Source organism: Homo sapiens, chromosome 3 (assembly GCF_000001405.40).
Source record: "Homo sapiens chromosome 3, GRCh38.p14 Primary Assembly".
In the NCBI taxonomy this organism is placed as follows: domain Eukaryota; kingdom Metazoa; phylum Chordata; class Mammalia; order Primates; family Hominidae; genus Homo; species Homo sapiens.
Genome location: NC_000003.12, coordinates 37,899,428 through 37,921,186, shown reverse-complemented (window position 1 = coordinate 37,921,186; position 21,759 = coordinate 37,899,428). Strand labels below are relative to the sequence as shown.

The 21,759-nt window shown below is 43.2% G+C and overlaps 1 protein-coding gene across 5 annotated transcripts in view, besides 3 other annotated features; it reads right to left on the bottom strand.

Annotated features, from left to right (window-relative positions):
• Positions 1-21,759, bottom strand: part of CTDSPL (CTD small phosphatase like) — a 122,590-nt gene that overhangs the window by 63,283 nt on the left and 37,548 nt on the right. The gene's annotated exons all lie outside the window — the stretch shown is intronic.
• Positions 14,394-14,443: an enhancer, noted in NCBI's record as "active region_19674". NCBI's record gives its function as "activates an Ori minimal core promoter by ATAC-STARR-seq in GM12878 lymphoblastoid cells {active_cell/tissue: GM12878}" and the evidence as "EXISTENCE:reporter gene assay evidence [ECO:0000049][PMID:35858748]".
• Positions 14,895-15,189: a silencer, noted in NCBI's record as "tiled region #2528; K562 Repressive non-DNase unmatched - State 23:Low". NCBI's record gives its function as "represses a minimal TATA promoter and a strong SV40 promoter by Sharpr-MPRA in K562 cells {active_cell/tissue: K562}" and the evidence as "EXISTENCE:reporter gene assay evidence [ECO:0000049][PMID:27701403]".
• Positions 16,852-17,578: an enhancer, noted in NCBI's record as "H3K27ac hESC enhancer chr3:37945100-37945826 (GRCh37/hg19 assembly coordinates)". NCBI's record gives its function as "activates a minimal SCP1, AML or CMV promoter by ChIP-STARR-seq in naive H9 embryonic stem cells {active_cell/tissue: H9 hESC(naive)}" and the evidence as "EXISTENCE:reporter gene assay evidence [ECO:0000049][PMID:30033119]".

Sequence of the window (21,759 nt, the reverse complement as noted above, 5' to 3'; positions counted from 1 at the left end):
TGGCCCTGTGCTGCCCGCTGCCAGAAGATGTGAGGAAAAGATAAAACGATGCATAAGAAAGTACTAGGAAAACTGTCATGGGCAGAGGCAGGGGAGGACTGTTTCTCTGCTCTTCCTCTCTGGACTCCCCTCTTTCTCTCCCTTGTCATGAATGCGCTGACCTATTGAGGCTCACAGAGGCCCAAAAGACCCGGGTTCAAACCTACAGGTGATAGAAAGGGCTTGGGATGGGCTGGACCCTGGCCCATAGGGCTGAGGAGTACAGGGGAAGCAGGTCTCACAGGTGGTTTGAGAGCAGGGAAGAACCAGAACTGGGATGAATTATTAGATCCTCTTAGACCTGAGTGAGCAAATCAGACCAAGCCATTTGCCTCATGCTATACAGCAAGTGAAATGCATCCACATTACATCCCCTAGAGCTACTGAAAGCACTACTATGGGTGAAGGTGGAAGTATGCGCTTAAGCCAGACACTGTTCTTCCCTAACAAAAGGTCACTTTTTGAAAATCCTACTTTTTAGAAGGATGTTCGCAGACTGAAAATATCATTAGTGCCTGGCTCTTTACCATCTGTAGGCTCAAGTGAGGAAGAGCAGGAAACTCTCACATGCCTCCCTTAGGGCACCTGGCAGGGCCTCTGCAGCCTCCCACCCTGATGTTAAACCATCAGGGCAGATGGTGGCCTGGGGAAACACAGCTGATCTGTGGTGCAGTAAAGCTACAGAACTACCAAAGCTGCCAATTAAAAGGAGGAGAACTGTTTCCTCCTAATGCAGTCGCAGCAGCTCACATTCCTGCTTCCAGCACCAGACAAGTCAACTCTGGAGAGGCTGCCCCAACAGTGCTCAGTCTCACCAAGACCTGGTGCACACCAGGGCACATTCCATCTGCTGAAAGGAAGGTCTGGGGATCTCACCTCCGGCAACAGTCCAGGCTGGTTCTGCCCTCAAGACAAAGTATCTGAGCATATCCTCAAAGGCTTCAAGTGGAGATCGTGAATCCCTGCCTTCATCTAGCAATTGTTCCTCTGAACAATTTCAGAGCCTCCAGAAGGAACCAGTCCTGACAATATCTTGACTTTAACCCATTGAGACTGTTTTTTTTTTATTTCCACCCTCTAGAACTGCAAGAGAATAAATTTGTATTGTTTTAAAAGCCACTGAGTTTGTGGTGGTTTTTTATAGCATATATAGGAAGCAAATACAAGCCCCCATCAGAGACTAAGAGAAGAAAACATCCCCAGGGCTTCCATAATTCCCTATCCTTTAAAATTAGCTCTCTGGGCTCCTGACCTTCTAGCCATTTCCCTTCTCCAGCTATCCTGTGGGCTTTTCACTTGGCTTACTCAGGCAAACTCAACTTTCTTCTCTGTTTCCCCCAGGGCCCAGCGAAGCACAACTCCTGGAATCCAGGAGAGGCCCCAGGAACAGATGCTGATGGAGACTCCACTATCCTGAGGAAGGGAAACCCTGGCCCCCTTTCCCATTCCATCTCTGCTGATCCTTCCTCCGCTGTAGGCTTCTTCCCGCTAACCAGTTCTCCAGCTCTTGAAACTGCAGCCTTCCACCAATTCCTCAACTTCTCCAGGACCTGGTTTTGGATTAGAAAACTCCTACTACTATTAAGTAATCCTTTCTGGAAATGGCCCTCAACACCTGCCTCACCTATTTCCTATTCTGGTTTCTACCTTACACTTCACTTTTTAAAAAAAGTTGGAGGTGAAAATATATTCAGAGAACCTGTCTTTCTGTCATGTTGTGTTAATAATCAACTTGAGGCAAAATTCCAATACTGTTTTTCTGAGAAGGGAAAGCTGTAAATTCTATGCTGGAAACTGTTCTAAATATTCCAAGGAGAGGGGTCCCATCTCAGAGCAGCTTCTTGAGAAGGAAAATCCTCTGCTCACAAGATCCCAAAATGCAGCTTCTCAAGAGAGTCCAGGAGTCTATGATGAAGCATCTTCTATAGTATAGTTTCCAAACTTTAAAATATCAATGGATAGCCTTTTTAAACAGTAATTCTTATAAGGACAGTTAATATAAAACACAAACTGAAAAGAGCTGCTTGGTGGGGGGTAGGGGGAAGGCCCTGGTAGCGACTAGGGGTCAGGAAGAACTGCATGGAATCCATTCAGCCAACGAGAGATTTTCAGAGTCATTTAACAACCACTATTACACAGAACTTATTTATTATATTACATATAATTTTTTTCATGATAAATAATCCCATTGCCACAAATTCTATTACAATTAAAGGCAAACACGGCTCCCCACAATGTCCCTTAGTGTTTTCTTATGCTGCAGGGCCTGTTTCCCCTCCTAGAGTGGGAGTCCTGGAGTAGAGAACAGTGTTCTCAGCAGGGGGCCCAGATCACATACAGTTTGAATGTTTGTTGGGTGAAGGAATCAAATTGTTTCCAAGCTCCAGGCACTGTCCTTTATTTAAGCCTGTATCAGATGCAAACAAGCACAAAACAAAACTCTACCACAATTAAAGAATACAATCCCTTAGAGTTACTGTAAGGAAATATCAGTTTTGCTTTACCCAGATGAAGTCTGTTATCATATTAAATCAAGAGAACATGTAATGGAAGAACTATTGTGAGAACCGATTAATATGAACATAGAAGGTGATTGAAGGATAGAATGAAAGAGTTCTCTAGAAATGCCAGCCCAGATGACAATTCTAGAGGCAGACCACATTTATAGGCTAGAGAGCTCCAAGAAATAAAGAAAATGCAAGAAGGCATGGGAAATATTTCACATGAGGCCACAAGGACCCCAGCTTTCTGGAGCAGACACAGAGACTTCCAAAGCTGGCAAAGGCCTTGGCTGGATGAGACAGGCAATGGGGACAGGCTGAGTGGGTACAGAAGGAGATGCACAAATTAGACTTTGCAGAATTTCCTGATACTAGATAGATTTTTGAGTTCTTTAATAAAGTTGCAGAGAAATGAAGTGACCTGCACAATATCAGAGTTGGCTGGTTAGAGGCAGAGAGAAGACTGTACCTTAGGCCCAGGTCCTGAGGTGTGTTATCTTATTCAGTGAGCAAGCATGCACGTAACTGGGTTTATTTAGCATATGCCCCTCCTGGGGCAGCCTTCTGTATGTTTCCTATTTCCTCCTTGCCTCTGCTCCCCATCTCCCCTCACTTAGAATCCCCTCAGATCTTCCTTTATCCCCTACTTGTTCTTATCTTTTATGAACTATTAATAGTTCTACGAAACTTGGAAATTCTTTGCGAAAACTTTAACCCATACTTCTCCTCCCTAAATCCTGCTACGCCCTTGGGGTCCTTGGCTCATCCAGCAATTTTCTCCGATATCTGCTGTCAAACACAATCACAATAAATTTTACACTTTATTTATTTATATATTATTCAACACATGTATGCTCATATCCGCAGTGCCTGGATACTCAAATTAAGGTTGAAGGAATTAAAGAATGAATGTTTCATTGCTGATAGTTTGTGGCTGAGGGCAGCAGCTGCCTGATGCTTCCTTTATATCCCTCTGAAAGTTCTAAATAAAAATTTGATGACTGAGTGATACTGTGTACTAAATGGAAACGTTTAATAGTAAAACTATATCAGCACATTATGGTCTGGCATTTGCTGTAAGGCTACATTTCCAACTAGATTACATCGACCTAATAAGGTCTAAATTTATTCATCTATATTGGGATATAATTTAGGACAATTTATCAGCAGACAATTTTCTAAATAATTACAACGAAAGTGCCTAACACTTTAGGGAAAAAGATGTGCCATAAATATTAAACAGCACATACAAATGCTTTCTTAGTTTTCATTTGTATATAAACCAGGAAGAAAGCTCACTTTACATTAGCAAGATTATTCATACCCTGCTAAATTCTACTATAAACATGTACGTGTGAACATGTATCCTCTCTACCACTGGACTGTGAGCTACTGAGGGAGGGGACTGAGTCCTTGCTTTGTCCCTCTTGTGTTTGTCTCTGTCCGTACTGTGCTCCCACCCTTACCCAGGTGTAGGACGTCAGTGCTCAGTTAAGTGTCTGCTGAACAAATGAATGAACAGACGAATATGTGTACTGCCCATTCAATAAAATATTCTGTCCTTTTCACCTATAAAGCAACAGGCATCAGTACAGGGTCACTTGGAATTTCCTTATACCTACGACACTAGAAAGATGTGAAGAAGCTGGAGAAAACCTGCAGCATGTCAGTGGAGCAGAAAGCAGCAGGACACCCAGGTACTACCCAAACTGCCAGTGACTCATGGCACCCAGATTGTTGATGCCTCCTCTCTAGGCCTCAGTTTCTCTGATCCCATATAGCATCACCTGTCCTCCTGCTTCCCTGCCAGGAGGGTTGTGCAGAACAAACAAGGGGATTATGGGAAAGTACTCTGTACATTATAAAGCACTGTATTAGTTTTCTAGGGCTGCTATATCAAAGTACCACAAGCAGGATAGCTTAAAACAACAGAAATTTATTGTCTCTCAATTCTGAAGGCTGGAAGTGTGAAATCAAGCTGTCAGGAGGGCCATGCCTCTTCCTTGCCTCTCCCGGTCTCTGGTGTTTGCCAGCAATCCTTGGTGTTGCTTAGCTTGTAGATGCATCACTCTAATCTCTGCCTCTATCATCTTCTCCCTATGTGTGTCTGTGTCTCTTTTCTTCTCTTCTTATAAGGGCAGCAGTCATACTGGATTAAGGGTCCACCCTCCTCCAGTACGACCTTACCTTAACTACTTACATTTGCAACGACCTATTTCCAAATAAGGTAACATTTTGAAGTACTAGGGGCTAGGACTTCAACATATCTTTTTGGAGGACAAGATTCAGTCAACAAGTACCATGAGAATAAAAGCACCACAGTAAAAAAAACACCTGAAATAATGTTAGCTCGGACTAACTCTAAAGCTAGAAAAATACTTTAAAAATTCTGCTTCAAGTTATGGAGAATTAGCAGGTAGTGAGGAATAATGGGGCCAAGATTCTGGTGAAGAGAGAAATCCAGAGAGGTCCGCCTGGGATTTAGGGACACTCTTCCTGTTGGGATACCTGCCACTTCTGAAAGAGTCTGAGAAGCTGAGCAGCACTTTGGACAGCTTGTGAGTGAGGTGGGCTGAAATTGGAGTTCCATTCTCCAAGGGCTATACCCAAGCCTAAAGGTAAACCACAAGAAGTGGACTCGTTCTCAGAGGCCATCTCAATCTCTGAAAATGAAATCACAGTCATACCAGATTCATAGTGCCCCAGATGCCTGCCAGAGACAAGTATAAATTCTCCCTAAGGAAAGATAACATCATCAAAGGCCTCAGATTATTTCTAGAAGTTTTCACCTATTATGTCTGACACTTAATAAAAAATAACTAGGTATATGAGGATATAAGACAAGATGAATGTATTATATTCCAAGTAAAACAACAGGCAATAGAAACAGTTCACAAAGGCTACAAATAAAGGTGTTATTAGATATGGGATTTTTAAATAAAAAAACTATGCTTAAAGAGTCCAAAGAGGTAAAAGATAAAATTGAAGTTTCTCAGAGAACTAGAAACAAAACAAAACCCAGTAATTCTAGATTTTAAAAACAAAATAACTAAAATTAAGAATTCAATATGGGGGTTTAATAGCACTTTATAGCTTGAAGAAAAATTAATGAACTAAATGATAGGTCAAAAGCAAATATCTAGTTTGAAACTCAGAAAGACACAAGGACAGAAAATAAAGATGAGAGGGTAAAAGATAAAGGAGTAGTGAGCAGGACTAATAGATATATAATTAGAGTCACAGGAGAGGAGAGAATTGAGTAGAAGACACAGCCAAGAATTTTTTAAAACTGAAGACATCAAACACAGATTCAAGATCTTAAATGGATAAACCCCAAATAGATAAATAAAAATAAAACTATACCTAAGCAAATCATAGTAAACTGCTCAGCACCAAAGACAAAGAGAAAATCTTAAAAGCAGCCAGAGGGGAGGAAAAACAGATCAATGGAGTATCAATTAGACCAACAATTCATTTAATGAATATACTAAAAGCCAGAAGACACTAGAATATCATCAAAATACCATGAGAAAATGTCAAAACTTTTAAAGAACAAATAACAATGTTAAACAAACTCTTGGGAAAGAAAATAACACTGGCTGGGCATGGCAGCTCATGCCTGTAATCACAGCACTTTGGAAGGCCAAGGCAGGAGGACTGCTGGAGGGCAGGAGGAGGTTGAGGCTGCAGTGAGCCTTGATCACACCACTGCAATCCAGCCTAAGCAACAGAGTGAGACCCTTTCTCTAAAAAAAAAAAAAAAAAAAAAAAAAGAACATATATATCTTATATAAACTCTTCCAGAAAACAACAACAACAAAAAACACTTCCCAACTCATTTTGCAAGTCTAACCAAACCATGACACAAAAATCTGACAAGGACATTATCAAAAAGTGAAATTATAGTAAAAAATCCTTCTTAGGAGCAAAGCCTCGAATAAAATATGAGGGAACTAAATCCAGAAAAGTATATGAAAATGATAATATGTCACTAGCAAATTAATTTTATTGCAGGAATGCAAGTCATCATATTAACAGAATAAAGGGGTGAATCAAATGATCATATCCATAGATTCAGAAAAATAATTTGATAACATTCAACATCCATTTATAATAAAACTCCTTGCAAACTAAGACTAGATAGGACCTTCCTAAATCTGATATGGTATTTACAAATAATTACAGCACATATAATACTTGATGGTGAAATACTGAAGGCTTCCTGCTGAGATCAAGGATAAGACAAGAATGCCTGCATCACTACCTCTATTTAACATCAAACAGGGAAAAAATATATAGGGAAAAGGAGAATAATTCACAGAATTTTAATGGTATGTGTAGAAAATCCAAAACAATCTGCAGATAAATTCCTAAACTAAACAGTTGGGAGATATATAGCTTGAAAATATAATAAACATTTGGAAAAGGAAAAATTTTCAGTTGCAATTTACAATAAAACCAAAATATAAAATAAATAGGAGTAAATAAAAATATGTAACAAGACCTCTACACAGAAAATTCTAAAATGTTATTTGGAGAAATTTTTAAAGCCCATAAATAAATGGAGGGATATACTATGTTCATGGTTTTAAAGATTCTATACTGTGAAGACGTCAATTCTGCCAAACTCGCCTACAGATTCCACACAATCTCAATGAAAACCATAGCAGTTTTTGTTTATTCATTTTGTAGGAACTGGAAACAGATAAACTGATTTTAAAATCTACATGGAAATGCAAAAGACCAATAATAGACTTGTCCCACCGGATACTGAAACTTATTATACAGCAACAGTAATTAAGAAAGTGTCATTTTGGCAAAAGAGCAGTGTAATGGAATAGAAAGCCCAGAAACTCAGGCACATATATGTTCACCAGACGGAAACCAACGCTGGTAGGTTCCTGGAGCAATATCCTCACTCTCTGTGTAATCCCAGAGAAGTTCTTCCCCTTTTTGGACCTCAATTTCTTCATCTATAACATGAGGCAGATAGACTACGTCACCCAAATTCTGATATGAAATGAGAATAAACAGATTAATAAATCCTTCCAGACTGCAGGTCTCCCCAATTCTCATTTCTACTCAAAAGCAAGACAATCTTCTAAGGAAATCAAACAACATTCCCCCTCTGTTTTCCAGGTTAAAAAGGCAGGGATTTAGGCACTGTGTCTTGCTACCTACTGATTTTAGTCCAAAATATTCCAGCCAGCCTGAATATAGAGGTCATGGCCAGAGTCTTGCTCTGTTTGCTCATTTAGAAGGCATGTAAGGAGTGGATAAATCAGGTAGAACTAGGTTTTAAAATACTGTTTTTCTTTTTCTTTTTTGAGACAGAGTCTCACTCTGTCACCCAGGCTGGAGTGCAGTGGCACAATCTCAGCTCACTGCAACCTCCACCTCCTGGGCTCAAGCGATCCTCCCACCTCAGCCTCCTGAGTAGCTAGGACTACAGGTACATGCCACCACACCTGGCTAATTTACGCGTTTTTGTAGAGATGGGGTTTTGCCATGTTGCCCAGGCTGGTCTCAAACTCCTGGGCTCTAGCGATTTGCCTGCCTCAGCCTCCCAAAGCGCTGGAATTACAGGTGTGAGCTGCCACATCTGGCCAAATACTGTTTTTCATTTATACACTCATCAAACTACTTCTAATCAAACTATCTAAGATCTCTGAGCCTCAGTTTCCTTATATGTGAAAGGAAAATTTTTGTGAAGATTAAATGGAATAATGCTTGTAATACACTTAGGACAGTATCTAGCACATAGCAATTATTTAATAAATGGAAGCCATTGCTGGCAATATACTAGAGCTTTGTTGGGCTATGATGATGAGAAGACAGGATGACAGAAACAGCAAACTAGACTTGTGAGGGTTTAACACATAGTGCTTAATGTGTGGCTGATGCTCAATAAATATTAATGGAATAGGCAAGTTACTAACTTGCCAGGCTCTCACAAAATCCTTAAGAGTCAAGGTCCGCTTGTTTATAGTGCCAAGTTCCCTTCAAAATAACTGGATTCCAGTGCATTTTTGCCCTTGTTATTACTGAAGACAGAACTCACTCCCACGTCCCCAGTACCGCATACCCCCCAACACACAGCTGGCCTCGGCTAGCATCACTTCCCTTCTTTCCCATCCTGAATACACAGGGGTGCCTCAGCCTCGTGTGGTCATCTTGTGCCTGGGTGGCTTGCAGCCTGCCTAACACCTAGTTTGTTTACTAAGCCTCTCCCTCACCCAGAGATTCCTTAATTCAAAATGGCCTATAAAGAAAAGATTTCAAAAGCAGCAAGAGGCTGGGTACTACAAATCCTGTTACTTCAGACCTTAACATTTCTGGCCTGTAAACACATGCCTGGAAGGTAGGAGTGGCCGGGGCTGAGTGCAGGAAAGAACCGGCCTCCCCTCCACTAGGGGGAAGCCATGCCACTCTTACTCACTCCTGGGTGGACCCCACTTGCGGGGCTGTGAAAGGAGGTTAGGTCCCCTCACTCCCTCCAAAGACAACATAAATCAGGATGCTTTTAGAGTCACAGATGAATATGCAGAACTGTAGTTAACTGAAGAGGTTTTCCTAATGACGGTTTTTGACTTCTAAGTGTATCAGGACCAGGCTGGAGTTCAGTGGTGCAAACTTGGCTCACAGCAACCTCTGCCTCCCAGGTTCAAGCAGTTCTCCTGCCTCAGCCTCCCGAGTAGCTGGGACTGCAGGCGCCCGCCACCACGCCCAGCTAATACATTTTTGTATTTTAGTAGAGACGAGCTTTCACCATGTTGCCCAGGTTGGTCTCAAACCCCCGAACTCAAGTGATCCACCCACCTTGGCCTCCCAAAGTGCTGGGATTATAGGCGTGAACCACCGCGCCTGGCTGTCCTCCTTCTCTCTTTAGCGAGGGTTACACCTGCCACCCAGGTGTGTAGACAACTTTCTGATTCTTCTGCCACTCGTCTTCTTGCCCTTCTCAGAAAGAGAATCTGAAATGGAAACCCACTAAAACGTTCAACCAGACAAACATTTTTCTCCAACAAAAATCCCTGTTATTTGCCAAAGGTTCATGTTGGGGGTTCAGTGGAATTAGAAATAGCTACTCTATAGCTAATTCAGATAAAGAAGCCTTCATTATTCCCTCACCCCTCAGCCTTCTCTGTGTAAGCTCCACGGCTCTGCTTCCCTCAAGGCTCTGAGCTCCCACATCTTGCAGGCCCTGCTCTTAATTTTCTCCCAGTTTTCGCAGAGTAACAAAAGGGAAGTCACCACTCTGCAGCCTTGACTCAGTTCTGAAGTTCCAAAGGCAATGAAAATTGTTACTTAAAGGTGTGAGCTTCTCTAGTTTGTAAAACCTGAAGAGTACTATCCTCTTAACTTAGAGCTCGGTCACCTTGACAAACCACCACTCTGTGGAAAAGCTAATGCAGCAGCCACTGTAATCCCATCTGGGGCTTGCCCTCTGCTTTGATTTCCTGAGTACAGCAATAAACCAAGTCAATCTTTTATGAGAACTGTTTTGAAGGAAGCAAGGGCATTAAGTGACTTAAATGACCGCATGTGCACACTCTACGGTCTGCATTTCTTTTTGTTTGTTTTTTGTAAGGTCTACCTTTCTGTTAGCACCCCTGAAATACAGGACAACATCCTCCAGCAAATCCATTTACAGTCATAAACCAGGGGCAGACGCCTGCCTTCCCACAGCAGGGGAAGCAGAAGCCTCAACCTTGGAACCACTAGAGCTTGGGAAGGGCTGTAACCCAGGGTCTTACCTCCCCCAGACAGCAGGGACCACATTCACATGTGGTGAGCTCACACCTCTCTCCATCACCCCATGGCACCCACCCTGTAGAATGGAGTAATTCAGACTCTATGTGTTTCCCTGGGACAAAGAGGCATTTATTTCAGTGGGAAGCAAACTTTTTTCATGAGAATACAGCCCTGAATTTTAGAATCAAAGCAGATAAAAAGAAAAGCTTGATTTTATAATATTTTATAGCTAACTTTTAAGAAATATATTTAAATATACACTCCATGCAGATTATTCATAAATACTGTCTACTTCTAATGAACTGAGAAATTTTACCAAATTACCTTTACCATGAATTCAACTGGAGTTTAGCAAGTAAAATATTCAGACTGGTTTTTTTTGTTTTTTGTTTTTTTGTTGTTGTTGTTCTGAGATAGAGTTTTGTTCTTGTTGCCCAGGCTGGAGTGCAATGGCGCCATCTTGGCTCACTGCAACCTCTGCCTCCCAGGTTCAAGTAATTCTCCTGCCTTGGCCTCCTGAGTAGCTGGGATTACAGGTGCCCACTACCATGCCCGGCTGATTTTTTGTATTATTATTAGAGACGAGGTTTCACAATGTTGGCCAGGCTGGTTTCGAACTCCTAACCTCAGGTGACCCACCCGCCTTGGCTTCTCAAAGTGCTGGGATTACAGGTGTAAGCCACTGCGCCAGGCCAAAATATTCAGACTTTATACTAACTATTATGTGGTTACTATGTGGCCTAGAACACTGCTAATACTTTACTCACATTACCTCACTGAATCCTTACAACAACCCTCTGAGGGAGGTACTATTATTCTCCTCATTTTACAGATGAGAAAATTGAAGCATAGAAGTTAAGTCACTTGCCTAAAGTCATATCGCTAAAAATGATGGAGCTGGGATTTGAATTCAGGCAGTCTGGCCCCAGTGATCATGTCCTAATCATTCTTCCTAGAATGTGAGAACAGGAATGTGTGATACCATTCACTTTGTGGGAAATAAATGTTTAATGTTTAATCAACACACCTTTACATTAGCATTAGTTCATGGGCACCACAATCCTGAATTACAAGCAATAGTGACTCGCTGTCTCCTCATTCCCTCCCCAAATGTGGGACTTGGCCTTATGGCCCAGAGCTCAAGGTCACACAGCCTCGTGATCACAGAGTCCATGGTGGAAAGGGCCAGAATTTCTTCCAGCAAAAGGATTAGAAAACCGAGGTTACCCATCCAGGACTATTTCTTTCCCTCCTGCTGTTGACTAAAGGAACATCACCACACTGGGAAAAACAGGAAGTTGGTTACCAGATATGCCAGAACAACAGCTCCACTGTTCAGAGCTACTAACAAGAAGCACAGTCACTGCCATGTCCCTGGGCCTCCTGCCTGGAAGGAAATGACCAGCTCCAGGGCAGTGCGGGGCAGGCCACAGGCAGTCTGGGGTGAGCCCTGAAGCCCATTTCTCTGAAATAGCCACTTGGCCACCCTGAAAGACCTGCTCAGCCCTAGGATCTGGGAAGAGCACCCAGGTTTATTGGGCATCTGCTATGCCAGTGTTTGTTCATGATCCCAGTCCCACAAATGAAGTTGGGTATCATTTCCATGGCAGAAATGAATTCGGCAAGGCTTGGAGAGCTTCAGTGATTTGCTCAGCCAGGACACCACAGGGGCAGGGACTGGAACCTGGCTTTGTCTACCTTCAAAGCCTTCAATTTGATGCATTTTTCATCATGCCATGCTGTGAAATTTCTTTCTTGAATTTAGCCAAAAGGGTATCTTCATTTTTATTTAGCCCAACAAAATAAAGAGAAAGACCAATTAATTGGTATCGGTTTATTTAAAGAAAAACACTTTATGTAAAATTTCGAATTCTAAAAGGGAAAACAAAATAGTTGTAGTAATTACGACAAAGACTAAATATCGATATTGAGTAAAGGCTACATATATACGGAAAAGAATAACCCAAGACCACTCCAACAGCAATATGAACAGAAATACCAATCTCTAACAAACTTGGACAATTTTCAACCTCACTATTAATCAAAGAAATGCAAAAATAAAAACAATGTACACTGGCTCTTAAATTGGCAATTAAGAACTTATAGAACACAATGCCGGTCCAAGAACACACTGCTAGTGGAAGTGTAAATTGTTACTATCCTTCTGGAAAGCAATTTAGTAATTTGCACCAAGAGTCATAGATGTGTTTGTACACTCCTTTACCCAGTAATTCAATTTCCTGTCTATCGTCAGGGATTAATTTAAAATATGAAGAAGCTATACATGCAGCATAGATACCTTCCTCTCTGCACTGCTTATAAGTGGCATAAGCAGAAAGCAGCCTAAATGTCATACAAAGAGGGAATGGCTAATAAATGTTGGTACATTTAGTCAATAAAATATTACCCAGCCATTAAAAATAATGATGACAGAGTCTACGTAGCAAAATGAAAAAATACAGTTAACTGCAACATTAGGAAAGAATAATTGAGATAAAGATATTAAAATGTTATAGAGGGTATATCAATCAAAATACTGTATGCAGTCTCTTCTTACAGGCTTAACATGCATTTGCCATACCTTCCACTTTCTATTAGGAGATTTTTTAAAAACAGAAACACATTTGGAATACTCTTGCCTGCTGTGATGGACATTCGCCCACTTGGCGGGGGCTACCAGGTGGTGAGTTTCCAAAAGTGAGCCTGAAGGGCGGCTCACAGCATCCCTTCTTTCATGTGGTTTCTAGGCAGCGTTTGTGCTGTGTTTCTGTTCTGACCCTACAAAGGGTACTTTTGTTCCATTAACCACTTGTGGTTTAGCTGCTACACTGAGGGTTATGGGGAAGCCCATGCAAACTGAACTGTAGAAGCTTTCAGACTTCTTAAAAACAAAACCCTGCAGACTTTCTGTTTGTTTTGCATCTCAGGAGCATAGGGTCGCATTTACCATGTGTGATAGTTCCTGGCACACCACTAGCCGTATCTAGGCAAATGCGCTGTATGTATACATGCTTTTTTATTTCCCTTTATCCTCACAGCCCACCTCCACTCCCCTCAACCCACAGGCAAACTTTCTAACATGCTTAAAGTATATCTTTGTGTTTACAGGAGTGCTAGAAAAATGTGCATTGTACTTTTCTGAGCACTTATTTTTAACTTATAGAAATATTAGTCTGTGCATCTCATTCTTATTTTTTCCACTAAGCTCTACGTTCTTAACATTCCCCCACACTGATACACGTACAGTTCCTAACTGCTGTGTGATAAATACACTGTGGTACACCCCCACCCAGGGCATTTAATGCTCTGTCCTCTCCCAGCCTGTCACTCTTTCATCCTTTCTCCTTCACCTCCTCCACTCATCCTGCACATGTGCTCTATATGCATATGGGTGAACAATATCAACAGTGTCAAATGAACAAGACTCAAGTTCTTTAAGTCTCTTAATTTTTTCCTTAGAGAGAAAATTGCACTTGACATTTGTAGTTTTCAAGAATGTATTTTTCATGTATTTCAAGAAGTCTCTGTGATAACTTTAATAATTAAGAATGTATAGGTTTAAAAATGCCCTTAATTTCCTTCATTCTCCTCCCTTAGACCTATTTTGAAGCAGCTGCTTTTAGAAGGCCATAAATGGCCACCTAAGACCCTCAAGGTCAGAATCTAAATTCCAGAGATGTCAGAAGGCGGCTGCTGCAGTTTGATGGCATGATTTTGTAATTTGGTATCACTTAGGTCATGCTTTGATCCTAAAATTGACACTCGAAGAGCCATATATGTCTCAGCAAGTGCACATACCAGGAAAGAACAAAAGGAAGTGGGGGTTTTTGGCAGGGACAGGAGCAGGGGTAATGTCCCTACTGGGCTCTGTGCCCTAGCTGTGACCCCTACCACAATAAAAGCTGTTTATGACTGTAACTCTCTTTAGTCCTGCATTTTACATTCAACAAAGCAGTTTGAACACAGACGCCTTCGTTTGTACCTCATAACCACTGTGTGTGGGCCAGAGTGGGTATTCTCAGCTTTGGTTTAGGAGGGAAGGAAAGGCTCAGAGGGCGAAGTGACTTTCTTAGTCACAAAGGCAGAAAGGAGTGGCAGTGACAGTCCAGCCTCAGTTGGTGGGATTGTCCCTTACCCTCTCCCCACTACTAGAGTGGGCAGCACAGCAGCACACTTTACACTCTTTGGGAATCAGGTTCCTAACAGTCTGTGTCTACCAGGGCATCAGTGGCTCTTGTCCTAAGGGACTCTGTGCCCTGGAGATCATACTGCTACCAGTTCCTCCTTCCCATGACCTTGGGGAACCATTCAGGGAGGCACCAGTGAAAAACAGGAGCTCCAAAGGGCTGGCTCCTCCCTGCTTGTGGTCATCTTTTTTCAGAGCTGGAAAAGATCTTAGGAACTTTATCCAGCAGGGTTCTGGCAGGAAACAGATGGCACTCTCAAAATGAGTAATCTGAGGAGACTTTAATAAGGGAAGCATTTATAGAACGGACCGAAGTGCAGTGGTCTGGGACCAGTAACAGTCGCACATTTACATGCCTAGGCCCAAAAGGGTGAGGAAGGAGAGGCTGCTGGACCCCTGAGACAGAGCGCCCTGTGGAGAAGGCTGCCTGCCAGGAGCCCAGACCTTTGGTGATGCCACAGGGTGGAGCCAGGAGAAATCAATACTTCCTCCGATCTCCTGTTAGTGCTCCCCACTGGGCAAAGCACACAATAGGGGCCAGGAAGCAAAGAAGCCCATTCATAGAGTCCCCACTGGTCGGCTTCCAGGGCACAGGGTAGGACAGAGAGTAGATGTGGAGGGCAAACAGAAAACATCCGGCACAAGAACTAACTAACCCAACCCTCCTGACTTGAAAGGTACTGCGCCTCTGCAGGGGAAAGGCCTGGCCCAGAAAAATCAATGGGCGATTTGCAGAGCTGAGCTGAGAACTCAATCCCTGGGTGCCAGTCCATACTCTTCTCTCCTCTTCATTGGATTTGAGAGTATCTTCTCCTATAAGCATGACTAAAACCTGGAAAAATATCAGGCTTTCAAATCAGCTGGAATTTGTTTATTTCTCTTTTATAAATGGTGTATTCCAAAGCTACTTCTCCATGGTACAGTTCCCAAAGCCTATGTTGTTCAGACCTGTGTGTTACACCTTGGACATGGGAGCCAAGGTTCTCACAATCTAAAGAAACCACAACTCAGAATAAAACACCTTGCAGCAGGTATAGGTATGCAAACACAAGTAGGTCTGGAGAACATGTCTGCACTTCTGCAGTGCCCAGCTGTGGCACAAGGAGGGAGGGGGGGAAGGAAGCCTAGCTCAGGCAGTCAGGCCCCTGGCCTTTGTGAACTGACAGAGTATTCTCCCAGCCTACTTACATACAGAAATAGCTGTGCATTGACCCACGAGTTGCCCAGGCCTGGAAAAAAACTCCAGGATATTTTAAAAATCACATGTTCTTCCAAGTCTTTTAAAACTTGACTGGAGAACTGGCTGGCTAAAAAAAGAATGAATCATTGAGATCCTTTTTGTAGGCATTATCTGAGACAAATTCAAAATCAAAGATCAAAACGTTATTTGACTCTTAATTTCCTTTATATATTCTATAAACCTTGCCCCCTTTATGAAGTAAGGCAGGCTTCCCAATTCTTTGGATAACAGGCTTGTATCAGGGAAACTGTGAAAACACTACCAATGATTAATCTTATGTAGATATTAGCATGATAGCTCTGTAACTACAAAATTAAAAACACTAGAGCATTTTTGCTCAGCTTTTTACTTTTTATATTCATTCATTCCATCTTTAAATGTTTTCTGAGTCCCCGTGTTTGAAGCTGTGGGCAGTACAAAGTGTAACAAGACTCGGAGAGGCAGCGGGGGGTCAAATCACAAAGGAAGGTTCTCCCACCTTCTGTTTCTTGTAGGCAGTGAGGAGGCACTGAAGGCTTCCAGAGGAGTGATTAGACTGAGTCATGTTTTGGCTAGTTACTTGGAAAGATGGACAGGGTGATGATGAGGAGACCTAGAGGCAGGAAATCCAGTTAGGAGGCTGCTGTAATATTGCATTTAAGAGGCAAGGATGGGCAGCAAAATGACTTTCCCAGATCAGAGAAGGAAGTAGCAGAGATTTGGATCAGGTCTGTCTGATGCAACAGGGAGATATATCCTGGCCATGTGGGAAGAAAGGGACTCCTGGCCACTCATACGTTTTCTCTATAAAAAGGGGGCTGAGCAGAGAGCCACAGGCTGAACACCAAGGCTCTGGTGAGCTATGCCATTCCCAGGGTCTAGTCTCAGTCTGGCACTCACAGATACTGATCTTTGGGAGCCCGGGGTGGGCTAGTTCTCTAGCCAGGGAGTAGGAAGGGGACCTCTTGCCCTTGACAGGTGCCCCCATTTATCATCCAATGGGTCACCACCTCCTGGTGAGCCAGTTCTCCCTTGTACAGCTCTTCACACTGTGAAGTTCTTTCTCATCTCAGGTGAGATCAGTACCCTAGGGTCTTCCATCCACTGGGCGGGTCCTTTCCTCAATGCCTGATAGAGTGCCCCACTCCTCCTTCTCCTGGATGCCTAAGAAGGGGCCAAGTGCAGACCCTTCCTCAAAGGGAACTGGTGCTAAATAGCCAAGAAAAGAACCCTAACCAGCTTGGCTCTTCTCAGCAATCTGGCTTGCTTCTCTGCTTCAGGTGCAAATGTCACATAATTAAGTTCAAAGTTTCAGTGAAAGGCTGCTCTGTTCTGCTGGCAGTCTGACAGGCAGCCAGCCCACAGAGCCAACTTTATCCTATAGAATTCTTCATGTTACGATTTACTATCCTGCCTTCCAGCCTTGGACAGGTTGAAGGAGAAGTCCTGAAGCCACAAGAGTGTGCAGCAGGGATCCTGTGAGGAGGGGAGTGCCATCTTGGTTATTTTCTGCTTACACTGTAATAGCCACTGCATGAACTGCTTGAATAAGTCAGTAACCTGGTGGCAGCGGCAGTAAAGGCTGGCCTGGTGACCTGGTACCAGCCAGAAGCAACTGCACATGGACTTGGCAGGAACCCTGTCCTGACAGTGGTAGTCGCTTGACCCATTGTAGCTTCTCTGGGGAAGAGTAGAAATGCAAGGTGGACAAGAAGAGGGACTCCTGGGCTTTTGTCCCCAAGAAGCTCTGAGCTTGTGCCTGTTACTATGAAGTCACCTCACAGCTCAAATTGAGAGGAGTCTGGCAGGGGTGTGGCAGGTGCGGTACATCCTTTGCTGACTGTCTGCCTGGACATGTTTGTGATAACCCTTGTGATAGCAAGGACATCCTTGTTTGACCCTAAGGTCCCAAGAATTACACAATAACCTAAAGCCACTACTGAGGAGACAGAAGACCCTTATTCATCAGTCCTGCTCAGGTCCTGGTCAATGAACATAAGTTCACACATCCTGTGTTACCAGAATCTCTCCCACCCCCTGCCCCAGCTTCCAAAATCAGCCTCATACCTCAGGGTTCAAAGCTGTTTTGCTGCAGCAGCAGCTGTAATAACAGCAACAAGAAGGCCTCTCAAATGGATCGCTGTTTCAAAGTATGTGCATACATATTCCCTCATTTGTCCTGACAACTGTCCTTCACCTCTTACTAGCTAGGAATGAGAGGTGTAGCTAACAGCAGCCTCCTTTTCTAACAACAAAGTCTGCCTCAGGAATTCCAGCAATCGGACCGGCTGCCCCTTCCCAAGTCCTCTCCTCCATCTTTTCATAGAACGCATACTCTCCACTGTGCCCTTACCCTTGGCTTAGTATACCAGTAGGCCAAGGCCTGTGCTTGGCTCTCTAGCTGCCAGATAATGAGAAGCCCACCACCATCTCAAAGAGCCTCAAACAGTCTCAAACAACTGAAGCCCACCTGGGACCAGCACCACCATGTTATTCAACTTCAGAACGGTGTTTCTTGGAGCACAGCTCACATACCTTTCACTGTAGATGTTGCCCCCTAGAGTTGTGCAATACTGTGCATCTGAAACTCTCTGAGTAACGTATTGGAGAGGATGTGGGATCCAGTGAGCACTTGCCACAGCCACAGGCCTGTGTTGAGGAAAGCAGCCACAATGTGTCCTGTAGTTAACGGGTGACCGGTGACCCCTGGGGCAGGCTGGTGTAAGACTCTGTCTAACTGCAGTGTTGTTCAGTGGGAGGCCACTGACCCACCCAAGATGTTGCCTCCTTGTGGGGGGTTTGAATGTGAGATGCAGCAGAAGCAGCAGAGACAGCAGTTGGGGTGAGAATACAGACAGAGAAGGAGAAACAAGAGGAAGAAGCGGGCAAAGAGATTAGCTTTCCACATCTGGAGGAATCCCTAGGGAGGGGAGCCATGGATGCCCAATTCTAAAATGATGGCATGATGGGAGGTACCTAGGAAGACTCCTGGCACATCCTGAACAATGAGGTGCCCACAGGCCTGCTGGGAAGTACAGAGACCCATGGAAAACGGACTATTTGTTGCTGTGACCCATACCAAGTTTCCCTATGTCCTTAGAGATCTTCACAAGGAGCTCCCATCCCCTGGGGCAAACTAGGTAACCTCTTGCAGGTTGAAAGAGCCTGACTAGAATAGGGAGATATTATTACCAGAGGAAACTGAGCTTCAAAGAAATGCAATGACTTGCTGGCATAGACACTGATGGCCACTGACCCATCAAACACGCACTCTTCTCCCTTCCTAATAGAACTCTGATTCCTTAGGGATGGCAATGTGCCCACCTAAAGCTTTTCCCTGGCTTACAGATAGGTGACGATGAGACATAGTCCTGGCCTGACATATAAGCTGAGAGTTTCAAGAACAGCATTTGCTCTTCTGAAATAGGAATTGCTCCTTCCTCCTTCTCTACTTTTTCCTCCTGCTTGGACCCCTCAGAGGAGAGGCCTCAGAATGCAGCAGCCATCTCGCAACCACGAAGATGAAAGCCACATACCAAGGATAGTATAGGCAGGAAGATAAGAGATGAGTCCCTGATGTCACCATATCAGCCTGGACTGATTCCATCCAGAATTCTCACTATGTCAGAAAGATAACTACCTACATATTTAAGCTACTTGTGGTTGGGTTTTCTGATTTTTGTGTAGCTCAATACCTTTCTGGTTGCATACACCTGCCTAAGTCACAGAGTTGCTGGTAAATGGCAGAGCTGCAGATCTAACCAAGGTCTGTTCAACTCTAGAGCCTTCTCTGCATATTTCCATTGGATGGTACCACCTCCTGCTCTCAAAGCAAGAGGTCTGCAAAGTAACAAGATGCTGCAGGTAAAGCACATGACATATCATAGTAAATGCACAATAAATATGAGCCATTGTTATTTAGGTCAAGTATTACTATTATTAGGTCTAAGCCACTAATTGCTCATCTGTTTTAGTGCCTTAGACAATAGAGAAAATTTGGGAACTCACAAAGAGGTGTCTCTGTTTCTGAGGAAGGGAGAATGAGGAAGGGCTAGGTTTTTTGGTTTATGGAGTGACTGGGAGCAGAGGGGTTGTGTAATGAGATGGACTACCATTCCCAGAGAGCTGCCTGTCCCCCTGGGAAGAACAGCACAGACACAGAGGCCAGAGTGAACCCTGGCATGATCAGTGGATCTGAGTTCTCCCTTCCTGTTCTTGACCTGGACCCAGGTCCCTTTGGAGCATACACAGAAAGGCAGAGGCCCTGAGATGGGGGCTGAGCAGGTCCAGCTGGGAGCATCAGGCACTCTGGCAAACTCACACATTTCTCTTCCTGCCCAGACTACTAATGATTACTAATATTCTGTAGTCATTAAATATGATGTTCTCAGGCTGTACGTGGTGGCTCACACCTGTAATCCCAGCACTTTGGGAGGCTGAGGCAGGCAGATCACCTGAGGTCAGGAGTTTGAGACCAGCCTGGCCAACATGGTGAAACCCCGTCTCTACTATAAATACAAAAATTAGCCGGCGTGGTGATATGTGCCTGTAATCCTGGCTACTAGAGAGACTGAGGCAGGAGAATTGCTTGAATTGGGAGACGGAGGTTGCAGTAAGCCGAGATTGTGCCACTGCACTCCAGCCTGGGCAACAGAGCGAGACTTCGTCTAAAAAAATAATAATAATAATAAAAATAAGTATTATGTTCTCTAAGGACTTTTAATGACATGTAAAAATTCTCATGGTACCTTAAAAAACAGCTGGCATATTAAGCTATATATGTGAGATAGGTTCCATGGTCTCCTCATGATATTTATCCATATACATATATAAGAAATTAAAAGGCAAGAAAGCTCTTAAAAAGCCAATGATGGTTAACAATATTATGGATGACTTATCTTTATCGTTTTCTATATTTCATAAGATTTCTACAGTTCCTTTAATAACCATAAGTCCTTATAAATAAGTTTTTCAAACAATATCACAACCTGTCACACTTTCCCTTTCTTTCTTCAAATCTTTGTATCAATAGAAGCCAAACATTTTCTTCACTGTCAAAATGTGACCCTTACTAACTCCTATAAATATTATCCTAAAACTTGAAAGCTGATTTGAAGAATTGCTAGTTCTAGTTGTGAATAATGTCAGTTCAGGGGTTGTATACATGTTTCGTATTAGATATTCCCTCAGCCTAATTCTATTGCCTTATGTCCGGCCAAACAATTTTCACAATTTGAGTAGATGTGTAACATCCTCAGCTACACTATCTCCAGCTCCATTCCCTCCCCGCTCACACTCAAGCCTTCCTCTCAAGAATGGTGACGATGACATGAACTTCCTTCCTTGGTTCTAACCCAAGGTGTAATTCAGTGATAAAGCTCAAAGGCAACAAAAATTCTCATTTTCATGGGAGGCAATATTTCATTGTGATTAAAGGCCCCAGGCAAGTTGTTTAACCTCTCAGAGTCTCAGTCTTCTCACAGGGAAAATGGAATGACATGACCTACTTCATGGTCTCCCCACTGATCCAAGCTTTTAACAAGTATAATCTTGTAGGTACCATTATTATCTCCATTTTACAGATGAGGAAACTGAGACCCAGAGAAGTTAACTAATTCATCTAAGGTTATTTAGAGATAAGCAGCAAAGCTAAGGAGTTCAAAAAGTATAATTACAGAGCCCATTCTTTTAACAACTACACCTACTTTGCAATACTCCATTGCAACTGCCTACATAGCCTGTGAATGCAATTGAAGAGTCTTTGGGACTCAAGGCTCCCTCTGAGTCCTTGCTTTTTTGAGAGCATCTGCAATGTCCTGGCCTCCTCACTTTCTTCTCTGCTATCTTCTCTGATCCTCATGCCTTCAGTTTGAGCGTGTCTTCTGACTTTCTAAGCTCAGAATTCTCACTTGCCACCACATCATCAGTCTCTCAGTTTCTCAACGCCAAACTCTAGAGGAAGCAGCCTGATTGGCTCCTGTTTTTTGCCTCTGCCCACAGGATGGTCGTAATTCAGGCTATGAGTTGGCAGCTCCTGCACATGGGGCTTTCCTTGAACC